General features: G+C 49.5%; 2 protein-coding genes across 20 annotated transcripts in view, besides 5 other annotated features; one reads left to right on the forward strand and one right to left on the reverse strand.

The window, feature by feature from the left end:
* Nucleotides 1-9,640, reverse strand: part of GLOD4 (glyoxalase domain containing 4) — a 26,566-nt gene extending 16,926 nt beyond the window's left edge. For 8 of the 18 annotated variants that reach the window (NM_001389734.1, NM_001389736.1, NM_001389735.1 and 5 more), the window contains exons 1-3: nucleotides 5,911-6,025; nucleotides 2,440-2,489; nucleotides 613-733 (exon numbers count right to left, since the gene is read on the reverse strand). In NM_001389734.1, the coding sequence (NP_001376663.1) occupies nucleotides 613-733; nucleotides 2,440-2,489; nucleotides 5,911-6,000 (261 nt within the window). In that variant the 5' untranslated portion in view covers nucleotides 6,001-6,025. Of the gene's footprint in view, nucleotides 1-612; nucleotides 734-2,366; nucleotides 2,490-4,358; nucleotides 4,484-5,607; nucleotides 6,026-9,621 lie in introns of those variants that run through there. The other 10 variants (NM_001366247.2, NM_001389729.1, NM_001389726.1 and 7 more) reach the window with 10 other exon arrangements.
* Nucleotides 4,956-5,055: an enhancer, noted in NCBI's record as "active region_11440". NCBI's record gives its function as "activates an Ori minimal core promoter by ATAC-STARR-seq in GM12878 lymphoblastoid cells {active_cell/tissue: GM12878}" and the evidence as "EXISTENCE:reporter gene assay evidence [ECO:0000049][PMID:35858748]".
* Nucleotides 6,056-6,405: an enhancer, noted in NCBI's record as "active region_11441". NCBI's record gives its function as "activates an Ori minimal core promoter by ATAC-STARR-seq in GM12878 lymphoblastoid cells {active_cell/tissue: GM12878}" and the evidence as "EXISTENCE:reporter gene assay evidence [ECO:0000049][PMID:35858748]".
* Nucleotides 6,056-6,625: a biological region, named in NCBI's record as "NANOG-H3K27ac-H3K4me1 hESC enhancer GRCh37_chr17:685572-686120".
* Nucleotides 6,077-6,625: an enhancer, noted in NCBI's record as "NANOG-H3K27ac-H3K4me1 hESC enhancer chr17:685572-686120 (GRCh37/hg19 assembly coordinates)". NCBI's record gives its function as "activates a minimal SCP1, AML or CMV promoter by ChIP-STARR-seq in naive H9 embryonic stem cells {active_cell/tissue: H9 hESC(naive)}" and the evidence as "EXISTENCE:reporter gene assay evidence [ECO:0000049][PMID:30033119]".
* On the forward strand, nucleotides 6,098-16,254 carry MRM3 (mitochondrial rRNA methyltransferase 3). Of its 2 annotated transcripts, NM_018146.4 has the most exons (4): nucleotides 6,098-6,437; nucleotides 6,828-7,072; nucleotides 11,710-11,877; nucleotides 15,279-16,254. In NM_018146.4, the coding sequence occupies exons 1-4, from the start codon at nucleotides 6,124-6,126 to the stop codon at nucleotides 15,812-15,814; spliced, it is 1,263 nt and encodes a 420-aa protein (NP_060616.1). In that variant the 5' UTR covers nucleotides 6,098-6,123; the 3' UTR covers nucleotides 15,815-16,254. The 2 variants fall into 2 exon arrangements, with proteins under 2 accessions (NP_060616.1, NP_001304876.1); NM_001317947.2 differs by lacking the exon at nucleotides 6,828-7,072.
* Nucleotides 14,614-14,908: an enhancer, noted in NCBI's record as "tiled region #8532; K562 Activating non-DNase unmatched - State 18:Pol2". NCBI's record gives its function as "activates a minimal TATA promoter and a strong SV40 promoter by Sharpr-MPRA in K562 cells {active_cell/tissue: K562}" and the evidence as "EXISTENCE:reporter gene assay evidence [ECO:0000049][PMID:27701403]".
* Nucleotides 16,255-21,953: the final 5,699 nt, after the last annotated feature.

Here is a 21,953-nt window from a genome sequence, read left to right on the forward strand (position 1 = left end):
TTCTTGCTTTTTTAACAAACAAAACAAAAATAAGCAAACTATCAAGGTTTCCTTACATTTAATCAAAGTGCCTAGAAATGTACACGTGTGCTTTGAGAAGACCAGCCTTGTTTCTGGCTCGGTTTATTATAATGGCCTCTCTGCCTCCAGTCTTGTAAATCCATTACCCACTCTGCAGCCAAAGTAAACTTTCCAAAACGCATCCTATAGTCCACCCCCAGACTGCAGCCAGCCTTGTTTTCCCTTTGCTCAAAGTCCGCCAATGGCTCATTTCACTCGGTGACTTACGGCCTAGGAGGCCCCCTGCAGTCTTACCCCATGGCACTGCCGACCCCATCTCTTACCACGCTCCCCTCTCGTTCTCTATTCCAGCCACACTGGCTTCCTTACACCTCCTCGAACACGCCAGATGTTACCTGACGGCTCTTGCCAGAATATTCTCTGCCTGGAACGCGCATCCCCCAGATATCCACGTGGCTAACTCCCTGACCTCTTTTGAGTCTCTGCTCAAATGTTATCTCTTCACTCACACACACCCTTGGCACTCTACTCAAATTTACAACCAGCCACCTACCCCCAGCCAAAACTCTGCTAGAAAAAAACGGTATTTACCATAAAGTCATTGCCAAGCTTGTAGTCTCCGACGCCATAATTGTAAGTCAGTTCTGCGACAAAATGATCATCCTCAGGCCCAAATCCCACCATTGTTTTACTCCATTTCCCATCATAAGGCCTAGAAAATAAAAGTAAATGAACTCAGTGACTACAGACAAGTCAGCCTCAGGCCACCCCCAGAGAACTACTGGGCACAGAGAGATGAGCATTCCTGTCTGGTCCTAAAAGTTCTCTTAAGGATGAGATGACCTCAGATGGTACAGAAAGCAGCTGTGGGCAGTGCTCATGGGACCCTACTACAAGCTCCAAAGACTATCCAGCATCTACCTGAAGGAAAGATTTGTTCACCTTTTCTGTAAAGCAAGGAACAGAATCCTAAAGACAGTTCTCCAACTGACCTGTTATTTCCTTGACTATCAATCAACAAGCATGAAATTCCTAATAGGCCTTGGACTGTTCCAACTTGTCACGGTACTAAGCTTAAGAGATGGACGGGCGTGGTGGCTCAGGCCTGTAATCCCAGCACTTTGGGAGGCCGAGGCGGGAGGATCACCTGAGGTCAGGAGTTCGAGACCAGCCTGGCCAACATGGTGAAACCCCGTCTCTACTAAAAATACAAAAATTAGCTGGGCATGGTGGCACATGCCCATAGTCCCACGTACTAGGGAGGCTGAGGGAGGAGAATTGCTTGAACTCAGAAGACAGAGGTTGCAGTGAGCCAGGATAATGACCCCGCACTCCCACCTGGGTGACAAAGTGAGATTCTGTCTCAAAAAAAAAAAGATACTGGAAAGCCGCTGCTTCATCTAGAGCATGTACTTATTTGCATTTGTGGCATAATATGAAACATATCTGGTCATTGTCCCTGGTTCCTGTCTCAGAGCTCCCAAAACCTCTGGAATTTCCTGATAGGAATATCTTTTGTTATATTCATAATGAGCCCCTTTCAGTCACACCTGAGTTTATGCTAATGAAGTGACTTAGAGTGGGGCCTCTACATAGACTCAGGATGGGGCTGGTCACCAGAAAGACAAATGATTAGAGGACTGAACTTTCAGTCCCATCCACCAACCTCTGGGAAGGAAAGGGATGGAGACTGGGCTCTATTAGGCTTGAACAATGAGACTCATGAGCTTCTGGGATGCTGAACGTAGGGAGGTGCTGGATTGGAGCCTGCCCAGAAGAGCATGGAAGCTCTGCCACCCACTCCCCATGCCCTGCCCTGTGTATCTCCTCTGTCCAGCCATTTCTGACTCGTACTCTTTATGATAAACCAGTAAATGTAAGTAAGTGTTTCCAGCGTTTCCCTTAGTTCCATGAGCCACTGTAGCAGACTATCAAACCCAAGGAAGCAGGAGCGGGAGCCCTGACTTGTAGTTGGTCATCGGAAATCCTGAAGATCCAGACTGTGACCGGCGCCTGACGTGGCGGAAAATCTTCTGGGACTGAGCCCTTAACTTGCAGGATCTGACATTAACTCCAGGTAGAGTCAGAATCAATTAAATAACAGGACAGCCGGCTGGTGTTAGAGAGCTGGAGAATCCCTTTGTGTCCCACAGGTGTTGTATGAGAGTGCAGAGAAATGTGTTCCCGACGCTCCTGAAGTTGCCTCCCTAATTTACTGCCTTCTTAATTAATTCCACTGCTTTATACTCATGAGAGTGCAGAGAAACAGTATGTGTTCCCGACGCTCCTGAAGTTGCCTCCCTAATTTACTGCCTCCTTAATTAATTCCACTGCTTTATACTCACTTTGAGAAACTGTCTTCTGTTATCCGGGTGTAGTCAGAGCCTAAAGGAGATTTTAAGAAACAAGGTATCATACCCATTACAGGCAGCTTTGCAGCCTTCTTCAAATTCCTCATGCCGCAGAACCTGGTGTGAGATTTAGAATAAATTGTGAAGTGTTGCTAGTACTGCTCACAGCGTCTTTAGCACAGACTAAAATGTCAAAACACAAACATTATCATTTATAAGCTTTACTTGTAAAAGAACAAAAGCAAATGAGCTTTACACTTCTCCCAGGATAGAAGCAGTGGAAGGACGAACAGCTTGACACCAAGGGTCAGGCTACCAAATCAGTTGTGAAATCTATTTAGATTGGTAAGCAGTGCTATGCAGTGGGAAAAAGTGTGGCCTTCAGCATTAAAGAAGTCTGATTTGGGCCGGGCACAGTGACTCACGCCTATAATACCAGCACTTTGGGAGATCAAGGTGGGTGGACTGCCTGAGGTCAGGAGTTCAAGATCAACCTGGCAAACATAGTGAAACCCCGTCTCAACTAAAAATACAAAAATTAGCCAGGCGTGGTGGCGTGTGCTTGTGATCCCAGCTACTCAGGAGGTTGAGGCAGGAGAATCACTTGGACCATGAGATGGAGGTTGCAGTGAGCCGAGATCGTGCCCCTGCACTACAGCCTGGGTGACAAGAGCAAAATTCCATCTCAAATTAAAAAAAAAAAAAAAAAAAAAAAAAAAAAGATGGGCATCGTGGCTCACGCCTGTAATCCCAGCACTTTGGGAGGCTGAGGTGGGCAGATCACCTGAGGTCGGGAGTTCGAGACCAGCCTAGCCAACACAGTGAAACCCCATCTCTACTAAAAATATAAAAAATACAAAATTAGCCAGGCATGGTGGTGGGCGCTTGTAATCCCAGCTACTCAGGAGGCTGAGGTAGGAGAATTGCTTGAACACGGGAGGCAGAGGTTGCAATGAGCTGAGATTGCACCATTACACTCCAGCCTGGGTGACAAGAGCAAAACTCAAACTCAAAAAAAAAAAAAAGTCTGATTTGGAATTCTGTCATTTAGTAGTTGTGTAACTCTGAGCAAATTAGAATCTGAGTCTCAGTCTCCTAACATGTGATGGGAATGGATGTTATGAAAGCATCTCACAGAACCCTGCACACAGCGGGCTCTCAACGTGTTAGCTTTAGCCCTCCTTTTTGATTCCCACGGCTCCTGCCAGTTGAAGTTCCCAACGCTTCGCTCAGACTATTAAAAATCATCCTTATTGGCCGGGCGCGGTGGCTCACGCCTGTAATCCCAGCACTTTGGGAGGCCGAGGTGGGTGGATCATGAGGTCAGGAGATCGAGACCATCCTGGCTAACACAGTAAAACCCCATCTCTACTAAAAATACAAAAAATAAGCAGGGCGTGGTGGCGGGCGCCTGTAGTACCAGCTACTCGGGAGGCTGAGGCAGGAGAATGGTGTGAACCCAGGAGGCGGAGCTTGCAGTGAGCCGAGATTGCGCCACTGCACTCCAGCCTGGGCGAAAGAGCGAGACTCCGTCTCAACATAAAAAAAATAAAAAATAAAAAATAAAAAAATCCTTATTGATATCCTTCCTTAATAACACCAAAAAAGCACATGCCTAAAGCACAAAGCACTGATCCCATCACCACCCTGTTTAAGAACATAAGTGAGCTCCCATCTTACTGCAGCATAAAATCCAAATTCTTTAGCATAGCATTCAAGATACTATTAGAAGCAATGCCGACCTGTCCATCCTGATATCCCATCTCCTTAACTTCAACTAAGCAACCTCAACTAAAGGCACATAAAACCAGCGGCTTCGCAAACATGTGCCATCTCCGCACTGGCTCTTCAGTTTTACTATGTAGCTCCTCCTCTCATCTACCTGTGGATATCCTATCTTTAGACGTCAACTCGAATCCTGGCTAACACGGTGAAACCCCGTCTCTACTAAAAATATTTTTAAAAATTAGCCGGGTGTTGTGGTACGCGCCTGTGGTCCCAGCTACTCGGGAGGCTGAGGCAGGAGAATGGTGTGAACCCGGGAGGCTGAGCTTACAGTGAGCCGAGATCGCGCCACTGCACTCCAGCCTGGCGACAGAGCAAGACTCCACCTCAAAAAAAAAAAAAAAAAAAAAAGTCAACTCGAATACAAGGTCTACATGAATTATTTCCTCATCACCCAGGTTGGAAAACCGCTCCTTCTTTTGTATTTTTATAATAGTGGCTAACACTTATATAATCTACTATTACCGATATGTTAAATACTATACATATAATAAGGTGTTGAATCTTTTTTTTTTTTTTTTTTTTGAGACGGAGTTTTGCTTTCGTCATCCAGGCTGGAACACAATGGTGCGATCTCGGCTCACTGCAACCTCCGCCTCCCAGATACAGGCGATTCTCTTGCCTCAGCCTCCCGAGTAGCTGGGATTACAGGCGTGTGCCACCATGCCCGGCTAATTTTTGTATTTTTAGTAGAGACAGGGTTTCACCATGTTGGCCAGGCTGGTGTCCAACTCCTGACCTCCAGTGATCCACCCGCCTTGGCCTCCCAAAGTGCTGAGATTACAGGCGTGGGCCACCGCGCCGGCACGTGTTTAATCTTTGCAACAACCTTTTGATCGACGAGGAAATACTAACAAGGGACAGCTCTGTGGTTTCTGCTATCGAAAGTTTGGTGGTTTTTCACTATCAAATTCTGACTTCCATTACCATCATCTACGTACAAATCCAGTTCCAACTCCCACCCCAACCCAGGCCATGAGCTCTAATGGAGGATATATATCAGGGTCATTTGCACCTTTGTTGCCAAAACTCAACGTAGTACCCTGAAAATAGCAGATATTTTAAAAATGACCTGACGAATTCAGATCCCCGTCTATTGCACCGTCTATACACTAAACCGCGCTCTTGCACCTTTCAAGTCTTCCTTAGTGGTGTGTTCCCTACCTCCCTGGCTTATCAAAGGAGGTCCCCAAAACCCAGTTCCCCAACCAACTGAATCCTGCAAATAACAGCTCCTCAGGACCCGAGACAGACCGCTTCTGGGTGCTGTTGAAAAGCAGATGGGTTGAGAGTTGGAGCATATATTCAGAGACTGAGTATCCGAAACGGACTATTCAGACCAGCCTTGCTAGAAGCAGAACTCTGAATACGCTGATTTTATCTACATCAAAGGCTCCAAACCGGAAAACACAAATATTAACTAGAAAGCATTATATAACATTTTATTTACCGTCTTTTCCGGTAGACGGTAAGCTCCACAAGGGCGGGGCTCAATAAACGTTTACGAGTGGCTTAAATGAAAGGACGTGCGTGGGCACACCGCGGGGACTAATCGTGTTAGGCCCTTCTCCAAGGCCTATGATCCCCAACGGCAACTCGCCACGCTCCTGAAGCTGAACACCGCGCAGGGCCTAAGGTCGGACACCCTCCGGCTTAGGTTCACGACACACCCATTTTCCCCTCCCTCCGCCAGGGCCGGCTCGGGCGCCGGTTCCAGCCTCGCGCGCCAGCCCCTGTCGGCCCCGGCCTGCACCTTCATCCCCAGGACGTCCCGATAGAAACGCGCCGTCTGGAAGCGGTTTCCCACTTTGAATACGAAGTGCAGAGCTCTGCGAGCAGCCATGATTCCCGCCGCACGCAGCCGTCACGCGCACCGTACAGCCCAGTCCACGAAGGGCGCCACGGGCCGTGACGTCACTAGCCGCCGACGGCGCGCTTTCGTGACGCAGCCCGGGTCTCAGGGAACATGGCGGCGCTGGTGAGACCCGCGAGGTTTGTCGTGCGACCGTTGCTGCAGGTGGTCCAGGCTTGGGACCTTGACGCGAGGCGCTGGGTCCGGGCGCTGCGGCGGAGCCCAGTGAAAGTGGTGTTTCCTTCCGGAGAGGTGGTGGAACAGAAGCGCGCTCCTGGGAAGCAGCCCCGCAAGGCACCATCTGAGGCCAGTGCCCAGGAGCAACGAGAGAAACAACCGCTCGAGGAGTCCGCATCCCGCGCTCCCAGCACCTGGGAAGAGTCTGGGCTTCGCTACGATAAAGCTTATCCCGGGGACAGGAGGCTGAGGTGATGTGGTTCTTGAGCCTGTCGAATGTTCTCGTTTCCCTTCCCGTCGCACAGCGGAACCTTAACCTCCTTCCGATGGAGGACTTCTTCCAGTACAGCCCGCTGGTTTTTGTATTATGCACAGAGGGCCGAATAAGCGTCTTTGGAATTAGCTTCTGTTTCTCCTTAGCTCTTTGTTGTTGTTTTTGTTTCACCATGTTAGCCAGGCTGATCTGGAACTCCTGACCTCAGGTGATCCGCCCGCCTCGGCCTCCCAATGTGCTGGGATTACAGGCGTGAGCCACCGCGCCCGGCCCTCTCCGTAGCTCTTTATTTCTGTTACAACTAAGCGTGTCTCAGTAACAAGGATGTTGATAGTTACCTGTTTTTTTTTTTTATTTCCATCTACAGCAGTGTAATGACAATAGTAAAGTCCAGGCCATTTCGGGAAAAACAAGGGAAGATCCTGCTGGAAGGTCGCAGGCTCATTTCAGACGCTCTCAAGGCTGGAGCTGTGCCAAAAATGTTCTTCTTTAGCCGTCTAGAATACCTAAAGGAGTTGCCAGTCGATAAGCTGAAAGGTGTCAGCCTCATTAAGGTGAAATTTGAGGATATCAAGGATTGGTCCGACCTCGTAACGCCACAAGGAATAATGGGTTAGTGATTACCCAGTGTATCTTTTTTTTTTTTTGTCTTGTTCTGTCACCCAGGCTGGAGTGCAATGGCGCGATCTCGGCCCACTGCAACCTCCGCCTCTCGGGTTCAAGGGATTCTCTTGCCTCAGCCTCCGCAGTAGCTGGGATTACAGGCGTCTGCCACCATGCCCGGGTGATTTTTGTATTTTTAGTAGAGGTGGGGTTTCACCATGTTGGCCAGGCTGACGTCGAACTTGTGACCTCAGGTGATCCTCCTGCCTCGGCCTCCCAAAGTGCTGGGATTACAGGCGTGAGCCACCATGCCTGGCCTTACACAGTGTATCTTAAGGTGTGGAGACCTAGGATTAATTTCTCATACTTGTCTTAGGACAGCAGCATTGAAATGAAATTCAAAATGTTACAATTAGAAAAATATAATTCTCAAACCTGTGTATCTTAGAGTATTTTCAATGGAAATTGAAACCCGTTTTTCACTATCATTTGTGTTGTGGCTCTTTATGGTCTCTAGGAAGAACCACTATTCCTCAAACCTTCTATTTTTTAGATTACTTCTTCAACTTTCTATGTCAGATTAAAAATTAAGAAAGCGTTTACTGAAAGATTGAGCCCTTCATTTTTGCAAAACCTCTGCCAATGTGGTGATAACTGTCAATAAACTGCTTATTCCAGAAGCAGATCTAAGAAGCGAGGTACAAGCCACAATTTACTGCCCCGTTTAGCCCAATAAACAGAGAACCTTGTCTTCTAGTCTGTTCCTTCATTTGGCTGAATCTGACTTAACCTTATGTAACTCCGATGTTGATTAGCAGTTACAAAGTCTTTGGTCTAAATATGAGAAGATAAGTTTTTCATACGTTTTTGACATGGGAGTTTTAAGATATGAAAACTGAATCCTTGAACTGCTGAGAGAGGAGATTCTGGGGAACCATCTCTTGTCTCTGTAACCCAGTGAGTCACAGGGATCTGTGCCTCTGCACTCAGAGCTCTTAGATCCTAGGATGGGGACTTGGATTACTAAAGTACCTAGAATTACTCATGCTAAGTAACCATATTCTCACTAGCTACAGCCCTCTAATCCACACGCCATGCTTCAGTGAAAGTGTTATTCATTTTTACCGTGCTTGTCACTTGGGGCAGGTGTGCTCACAGTGGCCAGCCCATCTTGAACTTGTGCTTGTCACTTGGGGCAGGTGTGCTCACAGTGGCCAGCCCATCTTGAACTTGTGCTTGTCACTTGGGGCAGGTGTGCTTACAGTGGCCAACCCATCTTGAACTTCATCATCATACCTGCTTTCATCATTTCCTGGCTTATCCTTATGTTACTATATTTTAGATTTGAGGGCAGGGAATAAGGGAGAAATGGATAGGAACTGGCAGCACCTGTCAGGCTTTAGACAGACACTCCCCAGAATCCAGCGACATAAGTAGGGCCTCCGTATAGTGGGTTCTCATCACCACAGACATCCAAGTAGAAGTAAAGGACTTCTAAGGTCCTCAGCCCTACTGAATGGCTTTTGGCCATCTGTGACTCCGAAGTGGAGGCTCTCTCACAGCACACAGACGCCTAATACCCTTCCATTGCCTTCAGTGGTGGATAGGCTTTTTACCTGCACCATCTTTTAGAAAGAATCCTAAATCTTTGATTGTATCATGTTTCAGTACAAGTACTATTTCATTCATCTCCTGACTTCAGTCAGTAGCCCATTTATTGTAGCAATCATATACGACAAAATACTAGTAAGATTCAAAAAAACTGTACAGTCCCTTGGGAGCAGACTACAAAGGGATTGAATATTTGATAATTATACATAAAGAGTTTAGGGTAGTGCTTGGCTTAAAAAAAAAAGCTTACTAAAAGGTTATCATTATCACCTCTACCAGTAAACATGGTGATTCAAAAAGAAACTTGTGGATATGTGATACACCCATGTGAATAACTTCATCTATACCACAGCAATTTCATGTACTCAAAGCCATTTTTAATATTGTTATTAGCCTTTTTCCAATTTTTCTCTTTTCCCATAAATTCTTTCCATAAAACTTTAGAGATTAATAATGTAGAGATTATATAATGTAGATTATTATATAATGTATATATAATTTTATCATGTAGAGATCATTAAATAAGGAGAGAATTTTCCACTAAGAAGGCCACTTAGGGTTTTCATTTTCCCAGATAGTCCCAGACCCCATTTTACTCCTTTGTATTAGACTGAGGACAGAGCGGTCGCCAGTAAGTGGCTGTACCCATTCTAAAGCTCCCAGGCTTCTGGACCTCCAGCGTGAGGCCTTGGAAGTGACTCAAGCGTTCACTGCACCTACAGCCCCTTCGTTTTGCAGAGTATGTCCCTAAGACAGTGCTTCTGAGCCAGCGTATTTGAAAAAGGGGTTGTTACTTTGATGCATTCAAGTTTTGAAATTCATATTCTTTTTCCTAGGAATGTAGTTTGAATTTTAAAATGAGTGATAAAGGAAAGATAAATCAGTATAGCAGGCTAATAATTGTTTTTTAAATATTTAAGCCTATAAACTATTTTTTAAAAGCCTACCTGGTAGGAAGATGGGCACAGGTTGTAGAAACAAGACAGTTAAAGGAGCACAGGAATTCACTGAAGAAGATCGCAGTCAGTCAGTAAGGTGTTTAGCTTCTCTAGTAATCAGAGAAAAGGCAAGTTAAAATAATGGCATGCTGTTTTTTCTATCACATTGGGACAAATGGAAACAAATGATAGACCCGCTTTTAAGAAGGGTTTGAGCTGGAAAACAGGTTTTGTTTTGTTTTGTTTTTTGTTTTTGAGATAGTGTCTCTGTTGCCCAGGCCGGAATGCAGTGGCGCGATCTTGCCTCACTGCAACCTCCACCTCCTGGGTTCAAGCAATTCTCTTGCCTCAGCCTCCTGAGTAGCTGGGATTACAGGCATGCGCCACCATGCCTGGCTAATTTTTGTTTTTTGTTTGTTTGTTTGAGACGAAGTCTCGATCTGTCGCCCAGGCGGGAGTGTAGTGGCGTGATCTCCGCTCATTGCAAGGTCCGCCTCCCGGGTTCACACCATTCTCCTGCCTCAGCCTCCCGAGTAGCTGGGACTACAGGCGCCCGTCACCACGCCCGGCTAATTTTTTTGTTATTTTTAGTAGAGACAGGGTTTCACCGTATTAGCCAGGATGATCTTGATCTCCTAACCTCATGATCCGCCCACCTCAGCCTCCCAACATGCTGGGATTACAGGCATGAGCTACCGTGCCTGGCCTAATTTTTGTATTTTTATTAGAGACGGGGTTTCACCATGTTGTTCAGGCTGGTCTCAAACTCCTGACCTTGTGATCCGCCCACCTCAGCCTCCCAAAGTGCTGGGATTATAGGCATGAGCCACTGCGCCCAGCCGAAAACAGGTATTTATGAGTTCCTGATGTGAATAAACTGAAAGAGCCTGTGTGAACGTTAATAGTGCACGCACATCATTTGTCCATTTCACTCACAGGTATTTATGCTAGAGAAATTTTTAGACACATGGACAGACAGTCCTACAGGGATACCCATTGCAGCAGCATTTGTAACAGGGAAAAATTCAAATAATTTAACAGTCCATAGGGGAAGAGCTAAATGAACTGTGGTACATTCATACTACAAAATAGAGGCTGGGCATGGTGGCTCACAACTGTAATCCCAGCACTTTGGGAGGCCGAGGAGGGTGGATCACCTGAGGTCAGGAGTTCGAGACCAGCCTGGCCAACATGGCAAAATCCCGTCTCTATTAAAAATACAAAAAATTAGCCGGGTGTGGTTGCGGGTGCCTGTAATCCCAGCTACTTGGGAGGCTGAGAGGCAGGAGAATTGCTTAAACCCGGGAGGCAGAGGTTGCAGTGAGCCAGCATTACACCATTGTACTCCAGCCTGGGCAACAGAGTGAGAGAGTGGGACTCTGTCTCAAAAAAAAATAGCCTACAGCAGTTAAAGGAAAAAAGTAGCTTCAAACATATTGACATGGTAAGTTCAAGATATATTGTTGCGTAAATAAGTCGATTACAGAATAATACAGAGTATGACACGGAATGTAAAACACATTTACATATGGACAGGTGTGCATATATATAGGTAGATGCATAGAACAAGTTCTAAAAGGATACACTCCAAAACAGAACAGTTGAGGGGGAGGAGAGTGGTACTGGTAGAATTTTATGTTGTTTGAATTTTGCCAATCAGAATGTATTCGTGGTTTTTTTTTTCCTTTTTTTTCTTTTTGAGAGGGAGTCTCACTGTGTCGCCCAGGCTGGAGTGCAGTGGCGTGATCTTGGCTCACCACAACCTCCACCTCCCAGATTCAAGCGATTCTCCTGCCTCAGCCTCCCAGGTAGCTGGGACTAGAGGCATGCGCCACCACGCCTGGCTAATCTTTGTGTTTTTAGTAGAGACGAGGTTTTGCCACGTTGGCCAGGCTGGTCTCGGACTCCTGACCTCAGGTGATCCACCCGCCTTGGCCTCCCGAAGTGTTGGGATTACAGGCATGAGCCAGTACACCTGGCCTGTATTCCTGTATTTTTATGTAACTAAGACCATATCAAGATTGATAAGTAAATGAAAAGTCAGACTATTCCCCGTGCCCACACCAGGCAAGTAAACCACCTGTTTTGTTTCCTCAGGGATTTTTGCCAAGCCTGACCATGTTAAGATGACATATCCAAAGACTCAGCTTCAGCATTCACTGCCTTTATTATTGATTTGTGACAATCTCCGTGACCCTGGGAACCTGGGGACAATTCTGAGATCTGCAGCTGGGGCAGGCTGCAGCAAAGTGTTACTCACCAAAGGTAAGGACATCAAAGGCCAGGCATAGTGGCTCACACTCGTAATCCAGCCCTTTGGGAGGCCGAGGCAGGAGGGTCACTTGAGCCCAGGAGTTCAGGACCATCCTGGGCAACATAGTGAGACCTCATCTCTACAAAAAAAACTACAATTAGCTGGGTGTGGTGGGGTGTGCCTGTACTCAGTCCCAGCAACTTGGGAGGCTGAGGTGGGAGGATTGCTTGAGCCTGGGATGTCAAAGCTCATCACATGTCAAGTGAGCTCATCACTGCACTCCAGCCTGGGCGACAGAGTGAGACTCCCTCTCAAAAAAATAATAAACCAGGTGGATTAGTTGGTCTGGTCTTTTTTTTTTTTTTTTTTTTTATTAAAGAGATGGGGTCTCACTATGTTGCCCAGGCTGGTGTTGAACTGGCTCTGACTCAAGCAGTCCTCCTGCCTCAGTCTCCCAAAGTGCTGGAATTATAGGCATGAACAACTATGCCCAGCCAAGTCAATCACTGTTAGGTGAGCTATGGCTCTGGGCAGGCAGACATGCATTGGATCTTGGGTCTGCCTTCACTAGCTGTGGTCCCTGAGCAGTAGCTGGAATGACAGGCATGAATAACCACGCCCAGCCAAGTCGACCATTGTTAGGTGAGCTAGGGCTCTGGGCAGGCAGACACGGCTTTGGATGGGTCTGCCTTCACTAGCTGTGGTCCCTGAGCAGTAGTCCCTGAAGTGTCAGCTTCCTCGTTGGTGAACTGGGAGGAATAACAGAATCTCCCTGGTCACTGTGAGGATTAAGTGAGATGATGCACAGAAGTTACTTCATACCTTACCTGCCTCACGAGTAATTCAGTCAATGTTGATTCTCTTTTTTAAAAATTATGTTTTTTGTAGAGACGGGGTCTTGCTGTGTTGCCCAGGCTAATCTGGAACTCCTAAGCTCAAGGGATCCTCCTGCCTCGGCCTGTCAAAGTGCTGAGATTATAGGCATTAGCCGCCATACCCAGCCATGTTTATTATCTTTTAAAATTATCATGAAACCTGCTAGGCTGTTAGAGAACTTCACATCGATTATGGAAAAGAAATAGATGCCAATTTTAACACTTGGTTTCTGGTTCTTTATGTAATGATATTGAGTTCCCAAATTGCTGAGTATATGAGCCACTCCTGAGTCTTGACTTCTGAATCCTATGAAAGGAATGACGTCAGCAGCTCTGAATCCTAATGTCATTGTGATCCGTTTCCCTTAGATTCCCTTAGCCTCAGCGTGGGTCACATGCCCCGCACACAAATTCGCCTCATTACATTTCTGTCTCTTCTCATCAGAAATAGGGATTAATAGGCTTGGCTCTAAACAGACTTTCCTCACAGTTGGAGCACGCCTAAAATGTCTCTTACACCTTGGGAGGTGGAGGGGACAGAGAGTACCATTCATCAGAAACACCCCAGCCACCATTAAAAGTAAACTAATAGTGGCACCCGTTGTTGAGACTTGCCTAAATTGCTGCTCGCAGCTCTTTCTCAGTCACGCCTTGCTAGAATACGTTTCTGTGCCAGTGTGAGAGCTACGTGCTGGGGTTCTGTGATCAGTACCCGCTTACTCGCCCCATTATTTAGTGCTCTGATAGCTGTTGTGGGATTTGGAAATAAATCTAAATAATCCAAGCATTGTGGTTTTCACATTGATACTGATGGCTGGGGTGTAAGAAATAGGGAAAGAAGGTAGGAAATACTTGGTGTGGTGCCCAGTATCCAGGACATGAGGATGACGGGAGGAGTCTCGCCTTTCCCCTTTCCCTTCTCCCCTCCAGGCAGAGGGGTCAGCCTCGGCCGCTCCTCTCACACGCCTGGGCCTATCTCTGGTTTCCTGCAGGGAGAGGGAAAGCCCGTGGCTGGGGGTGCAGGCGCTGTTACATCCTCTGTGTCTTATTCTCCGTTTAAAATCTGGTTTGCCTGGTTCGTCTATCCCGAGGTTTGACAAATGAACTTCTAAAATAACTCGTCAGGAGAAGACTTGCGCTAACAAGCTGTGCGGGGGAGGGTGGGAGGCCATGCAGTCACTGCGAGGCCCCACCCTCGGCCACTCTCCCAGCCCGCCCGTGGTGAGGAGCCGCCCCTGGGAAAGGCCAGGCGTCGCAGGCTGCTGCCGGGGTTGCCTCTTGCCTCATTGCCTCATCTCTAGAGTGTTCCCTGCTCCGGTGCAGACTGAACGTTGAAGCCCAATGGGTCTTGATGAAACTATAGATCTGATTCTGTCACTGCTTTGCTTAAGATCCCTCAATGGCATGATACTGTCTTCTGATAAAATGCCAAACTCCTCAGCTTCCCATAGGAGGCCTCCTCCGTGTTGGCCTGCCCACCTCCCACCTCCTGTGCCACTACAGCCCCAGCGCTGATTGACCGGCTCACTGCCTGTGCCACCACACCCCCACCCGCTGATTGGCTGGCTCACCTCCTGTGCCGCCACAGCGCCACCGCTGATTGGCCGGCTCACCCCCTGTGCCGCCACAGCACCACCAGTGATTGGCAGGCTCACCTGTGCCACCACACCCCCACCCGCTGATTGGCCAGCTCACCTCCTGTGCCACCACACCCCCCCACCCGCTGATTGGCCACCTCAACTGTGCCACCACACCCCCACCGGCTGATTGGCTGGCTCACCTCCTGTGCCGCCACAGCGCCACCGCTGATTGGCCGGCTCACCCCCTGTGCCGCCACAGCACCACCAGTGATTGGCAGGCTCACCTGTGCCACCACACCCCCACCCGCTGATTGGCCAGCTCACCTCCTGTGCCACCACACCCCCCCCCCACCCGCTGATTGGCCACCTCAACTGTGCCACCACACCCCCACCGGCTGATTGGCTGGCTCACCTCCTGTGCCGCCACAGCGCCACCGCTGATTGGCCGGCTCACCATGCTTGCAGTCCTTAGGCTGCGCCACTCTCCCGCTTCCTCTCCTAGCTCTGTCCTCTGCCTGGGCCTTTATCTCAGTGTGGTGGTCTTTTAGATGGTTTTCCTCATCGCCCTGCTTTGTCCGTGGGTTTTCTATGACTGTGTGGGTGCTTCTTTTACATCAGTTACTGATACTGTAGCCATCTGTTTAATACCACCCCACTACACTGTGCGTTCCTTGGGGTTGGGGACTTTCATTATCTTTGCATCTTCTGCGCAGTGTCTGGCACGTGTGAATGGGAGATGTTGAAGGGATGCATAAAATATCTTCAGCACTAGCAGGAGTGACTCCTATAGTCGCTGTGCTGGATGCTGTCAGAGAGAGGCAGAAGGTCCCATCCCTCAAGAAAGCTATCATAGAAGAACTGGTTTATCTCCTGATCCAAAATTGATCAGACTTACTCCACAGTCCCCTGGTCTGGGAAGATTTGTAACATCTTGATTGTTTCCTTTTTATTTTCCAGGCTGTGTGGATGCCTGGGAGCCCAAAGTGCTCCGGGCGGGTATGGGCGCACATTTCCGGATGCCCATTATCAATAATCTGGAATGGGAAACCGTGCCCAATTACCTGCCCCCTGACACTCGGGTCTATGTGGCTGACAACTGTGGCCTTTATGCCCAGGCTGAGATGTCTAATAAAGCTAGTGACCATGGCTGGGTGTGTGATCAACGAGTGATGAAGTTTCACAAGTATGAGGAAGAGGAAGATGTAGAAACCGGAGCCAGTCAAGATTGGCTGCCTCATGTTGAGGTTCAGAGTTACGACTCGGACTGGACAGAGGCGCCGGCAGCTGTGGTGATTGGCGGGGAGACCTACGGCGTGAGCCTGGAGTCCCTGCAGCTGGCCGAGAGCACTGGTGGCAAGAGGCTGCTGATCCCCGTTGTGCCTGGTGTGGACAGCCTCAACTCGGCCATGGCGGCAAGCATCCTGCTTTTCGAAGGGAAAAGACAGCTGCGGGGGAGGGCGGAGGACTTGAGCAGGGACAGGAGTTACCACTGAGGACGCAGAAGTGACTTCTGCTTGAGGACGTCTGCAGCTCCTCCTACACCAGCACACTGGTGGGAGGCTGGCGGAGTCAGTGACTATGGCCCCCACGTTCAGGAGGAAGGTGTGATGCCGTCATACAGTTACAGGAAAAATAAGAACTTCCTCAGAAAGAACAGGTCCGAATTCTTCCTGTCGCGTCACTGATTTTGAGGTTCTTTTTTCTCTTGGTGACAATAGGTGACCCACGTGGCTCTGTGTGTTTTTAAAAATTGTCCACCAAGAAGCACTTTGTGCCCAGAAAGTTCCTGAAGCATCATCCTGGCAGGGAGGCGCCTGCTCCACCAGCTGGTGGGTGTTTGTAATCGCCAAGCACCAGCTATAGGTCACAGCCACATCACTCACAGCTGATCACTGGTTGGTGGAAAATAAACTATGAGCAGCAGATTACGTTAGTAAGTTGTTTTGTGTCGTTGGTGTGTCACAGTACCTGTCACGTTTGGCCTGGTAACGAGGACGTGGCTAAGGGAACACCAGGAAGCTGAGGGCTACGCTCATGGCATCCAGCAGCTCTGCTCTGGGCTCAGATGGTCTGTCTTTGAGATTGTTCAGGGCTTCACTGAGCCACTGTTTATGTATCCATAGAAACGGCTTAATTCAACAGGCCATGTCAGACCTTCTTGGCACCTCTGCAGATACCTTTTTGAGGACTTTGCAGAGACGGAAGTCTATGCGGAAAACTGAATTTCAAAATCGGCAGCCTCACCCTGCATGTGTCAGGAAAGTGTCACTGTTTCCTGGTTCCCTGTGTTAGTCCTACTTACGTCTCATCCCCCAATGTTTAGAGGCCAAGGTTCTGAGAATGAACGCCCACAATACAGCGGCAGGACCCTTCTGTTCTCTCAGCCCCTCCAGGGCCCAGGGCAAGCTGGATCTTTACCTACTAGCGGCCAAACCAGGATGTAGCCAGGGTGTCAGGGCAAGTGCTGATGGTCATCAATGTATCTATAAGGAACTGTGGGGATGGGGTGGGTGGGTGGAATATGGGACTCTTAAGCACTGCTGGCCAGGTGCGGTGGCTCACGCCTGTAATCCCAGCACCTCGGGAGGCCGGGCGCAGTGGCTCACGCCTGTAATCCCAGCACCTCGGGAGGCCGGGCGCAGTGGCTCACGCCTGTAATCCCAGCACTTTGGGAGGCCAAGGCGGCGGATCACAAGGTCAGGAGATCGAGACCGTCCTGGCTAACACGGTGAAATCCTGTCTTCACTAAAAAAATACACAAAATTAGCCAGGCGTGGTGGCAGGTGCTACTCGGGAGGCTGAGGCAGGAGAATGGCGTGAACCCGGGAGGCGGAGCTTGCAGTGAGCCGAGATCGCGCCACTGCACGCCAGCCTGGGCGACAGAGCGAGACTCCGTCTCAAAAAAAAAAAAAAAAGCACTGCTTTTGCAGCCACACAGAGTTGGAGTTGAAGACAACACAGGAAGCGTTTCCCCACACCCCTCTGCCCAGCGGCTCCCGTAATGGTTTGGACACTGCTCACTCCAGGGAGGTCAAGTGTGTTGCTGGTGTGCCCAGGAGAAACCTTCTTTCTCTTCTACTCCCCCAACTTCCTAGTCAAACTCCCTCTTCCTAGTAAAACCAAATGACCAAGCATGATTCACGTGCCAAGGGGCAGGTTGGGATTGCTCTCCCCTGGGGGAGGGGTGTTTGCAGGGACAGTGTCCTCCCAGGCTGACATCTGAATATTTGAACATCTGCTCTGGAGCCCCACTGTGGTCTGGGCCTGCCCAGAGCTCCACATGAATGGGCAATGCAAGTGTCCCCCCAACACTGCTCCCAAAGGCTGGTGCAGAGAGGACAGGCGGAAAGGCGGCCTGGAGAATGCAAATCCATCCCACTCCAGTCTCCCCAGACACCTCAGGACAGTGCTCAAGCAGCAGGAGTCACGAAAAGGAAGCTCACATCTTTCCAGCCTAAAACCAATCTCGTGGGATTTGTTCCCCGGGTTATACTCCCACTGACTCGTTACAAAATAACAGTGAAAGAATAAACCATGTATTACCTTGTCCTTGTTTAGAAAAAGCAATGTAAACACTGGAAAGTAATTTTTTTTTTTTTTTTTGAGACGGAATCTCACTCTGTCGCCCAGGCTGGAGTGCAGTGGCGCGATCTCGGCTCACTGCAAGCTCTGCCTCCCGGGTTCCCGCCATTCTCCTGCCTCAGCCTCCCGAGTAGCACCTGCCACCAAGCCTGGCTAATTTTGTGTGTTTTTTTAGTGAAGAAAGGATTTCACCGTGTTAGCCAGGACGGTCTCGATCTCCTGACCTTGTGATCCGCCGCCTTGGCCTCCCAAAGTGCTGGGATTACAGGCGTGAGCCACTGCGCCCGGCTAATTTTTTGTATTTTTAGTAGAGACGGGGTTTCACCATGTTAGCCAGGATGGTCTTGATCTCCTGACCTCGTGATCCACCCGCCTCGGCCTCCCAAAGTGCTGGGATTACAGGCGTGAGCCACAGTGCCCGGCCAACACTGACAAGTAATTCTAAGCCCATTTTATCCTGGGTGTGAGAGGGAAAAGAAATTTACATCCCTTTGCTTTAGAGTCCGTGGCTTATATGCCACGGTGCCTTCAGTTCACTTTATATATTCATGGGTATAATTTAGTAGGGACGAGGGAGGGTGCAGGAGGGAGGCAAATTGTCCTTTCTTCAGTGAATACAGGGGAACAGATGGTTGTTATTTGCTGAGTGATTCTGGAAAATCACTACCTTGAATTCTCAGTTTTGAGTCTGACATTTGTTCTGTCACCATTTCCCCAGTAAACAGGAATAAAAAACGAGCCACATTTGACAAGGAAAACACTGCTTGGCCGAGAGACAAACATTGTCAGGATGTTGGCCACGCTCCCGCGCCTTTGTGTGGTGGCGTAGCTGTCACAGTGGCGTCTGCCAGGAGGTGGCAGGCGACACCTCCAAAACCACCCCAGTGCTGAAGGGCGGGGCTGCGATTTTTTCCTGGATTTAAATCGTTGAAAAGGGAGGAAAAGAGGATGGAGTGAAGTCTCCCTCCACCAGAGAGCATTTTGCAAGCTGTCTGTGCTCCGGGGTGTTAAAGCCGGAGACCCATCCAGATTGTCCCAGACCACCTCAGAAGAAAGAACCCGGAGTACAGGAAGACATGGGAACAAAAACGGAGGCGAAAGAGGACGAACGGGAAATAGCAGGAAAGACCGTCACAACTTTTCCCTGTGACTGCAGCCTCTGAGAAAAGCAACTCTGGGCAAAGCATAGGTGTCCAGATGTGCCTGGAGCTCACGCTGGGTGCCCACCGGCTGGCCCTTCGGTTCCTGCTTCGGGGCAGAGAGCGTTGAAATCACTCTCCCCTCGCCCCAGCCGCTGGCTCCTGGCTGGGAGCCTGGTCATTAAGGTCCAGAGGAGAAACAGACCTCTGGGGACCTGCCGTTCACCTGGGACCTTCCGCTGCTTGCCCCGGGGTTGACAGCAACCCCAGATGTCCGCACCAGCCACGCTGGGCCACACTTAGCCCCACTTTTGCCATTCTACCACGCACAGCCCTCACACACACTCCCCATCCAAGGTTCCAGGGCTCTGGGCTGAAAATCACCAGCTGTACTGCAGGGCCTGGGGCTGCCCTCTTGACCAAGCTACCTCTCCCTCAGGAGCAGAGCTGACAGGCTCACCTGTTTTTAAGAAAACATGTTGCCACCTTAAAAATTCCATGATTGTGTTTCCTCTGTTTTCTTTTTTTTTTTTTAGATGGGGTTTTGCCACGTTGCCTAGGCTAGTCTTGAACTCCCGGCCTCAAGCTATCCTCCTGCTTCAGCCTCGAAAGTGCTGGGATGCCAGGCGTGAGCCCCTGCGCCCGCCATGTTTCCTGTTTTCATCAGTGCAGGGAGTGCACACATGTAATAAGCTAGGAGCCAAGTTAGTGGATGAGCTGGTTTATTGCTCAGGATGACTGAAGTCTCAACTACGGAACCATGTTACATTCGAGCAGCTGAGACAGCAGCTGAAGCCAGGTCCTCCCGAAGCTTCAGGAAGCCTGCTTGATGCTCCACGGCTGAGAGTGACAGAGAATCCAGAATAGCTTATGGATGGGTCAGTTCTCGTCTCACCACACTCCCAATATCCAGCTTCCTGGACTGTTGTGTAGGGAAGAGCCACTTTTTTCAGTTGAAGTCTGAGTTCTTATGGGCCATGACCAAGGCTGCTGCTTCCTCAAAAGGCACGAAGGGGGCCGCGTGCGGTGGCTCACGCCTGTAATCCCAGCACTTTGGGAGGCCAAGGCGGGCGGATCACGAGGTCAGGAGTTTGAGATCAGCCTGGCAAACATGGCGACACCCTGTCTCTACTAAAAATACAAACATTAGCCCGGCGTGGTGGCGTGTGCCTGTAGTCCCAGCTACTTGGGAGGCTGAGACAGGAGACTTGCTTGAATGTGGGAGGCGGAGGTTGCAGTGAGTCAGATCGTGCCACTGCACTCCAGCCTGGGTGACAAAAGTGAAACTCTTGTCTTTAAAAAAAAAAAAAAGAAATGCAGGAAGGGAACAGGGAACAAGGCTGGGGAGGGAGGAGCCGACGGCTGCAGCAAGCTCCGGCCTCAGCCTCCCTTCCCTGCTCCTCTGAGATGCCGAGGGCGGGGCGTACTCACTGCAAGCCTGCCAAGTAGGACCTCCATGTCCTCTGACATTCGAGAGATGGATTTTTTGGCCCTGAGATCACGTCTCCTACTGTGTCGTCATTCTAGCACCTGTGGGTGACTTCCTCATGTGAGTGAGGCATAAGCACCCGGAATCCGGACTGGAGGCCGTCTCTGCCTCTGGATTGCACACTGGCCTACAGACCTGGGGACAGAGTCTTTCACGAGTTGTGTATCGTTTAACAGAAACCCAACAGTTCCACCCAAACCTCCTGACACATTCTCGGGCTTGGGAAGTGTCCCAAAGCACCAAGGGGGTGAGACACACGCCTTGAAAAATGGCAGTAGGCATACTTACCTGTCTTCATGCGCTCACATACGAGGTGTACCTAGAACGCCCTCATGTTATATTCCCAGCACTAATGAAGCTACTGGTCAACAGCTATTTGTTCCCAAAGAATTTTCCCTTGCGCAGCCGCAGCCTGGAGGAAGCAGGGCGTGTGCCCTCGTCTGCTGGCGGCAGCAGTGAGGGGTGTAGCCAAGTGCCCACTTCTCTCATTCAGCTGCTTCGGGGCAAACTGGAAAGATCCTTTGAGCTCACAGCCCCCTGCTCAGTGCTACTCCTGAACCTGCGGGCCTGTGTGCACAGCCACCCACAGCGCGCACAACACATGGGCCTGCCCAGGGCAACGGCACCGTCAACAGCGTGTGCCCTCGCTCAGGGCCCTGCTGGTACTACGCTTCCCAGTGTGCAGGGTTCCCAGACGTGTGTCCTCTCATACATTGCATTTCCTCCCTAAGCTGCACGGGGCAACACCGTGTTAGGTCCCGCGCATCTGCTCCTGGGCCACATCCGGCTCCGTCTGTATTGTTCCTGAATTCAGTTTGCTGTCCTAGAACAAGGCAGCAGGAGGGGAGAACAGCTTTTCAGTGTCTTTAATTAGGCAACAGGAAAAAACAAAGTCTGGCTGAAAATTACTATTTGAAGCTTGGCCGATGCCAACACAGCACTCGCTCCCTGCGTTCTGGTAAGTGATGGCCATTGATTTCAAGGACGTACCAAGGGGCGAAAAGCAAGAGCAGGAAGTCACCTCGCTCTGGAAAAGAAGCTGGTTTTCATCTGCTGTATGTGCTGGTCCCAAACATACCCTTTTCTCTTTTTTTAGTATTTTTTTTCCCAATTAGGAATTCAATGTGGAAAACATACCCTTTTTCTTCAACAGGCTTTTAATGTTGGGAAGACAGGTTAAAAAAAACAACAACAACAGGCTGGCTGTGCCGGCGCACGCCTGGAATCCCAGCACTGTGGGAGGCCAAGGCAGGCAGATCACCTGAGGTCAGGAGTTCGAGACCAGCCTGGCCAACATGGCGAAACCCCGTCTCTACTAAAAATACAAAAATTAGTCAGGCGCGGTGGTGTCGCTTGTAATCTCAGCTACTTGGGAGACTGAGGCAGGAGAATGGCTTGAACCTGTGAGCTGGGATCGTGCCA

This window comes from Homo sapiens, chromosome 17 (genome assembly GCF_000001405.40).
Source record: "Homo sapiens chromosome 17, GRCh38.p14 Primary Assembly".
In the NCBI taxonomy this organism is placed as follows: Eukaryota; Metazoa; Chordata; class Mammalia; order Primates; family Hominidae; genus Homo; species Homo sapiens.

Excerpts from the sequence above, each read along its gene's own strand:
- MRM3 (NM_018146.4), top strand. The coding sequence starts at position 6,124 with ATGGCGGCGCTGGTGAGACCCGCGAGGTTTGTCGTGCGACCGTTGCTG. Across the intron at positions 6,438-6,827 it reads CCCGGGGACAGGAGGCTGAG|CAGTGTAATGACAATAGTAA; the intron begins GTGATGTGGTTC and ends TTCCATCTACAG. Across the intron at positions 11,878-15,278 it reads CAAAGTGTTACTCACCAAAG|GCTGTGTGGATGCCTGGGAG; the intron begins GTAAGGACATCA and ends TTTATTTTCCAG.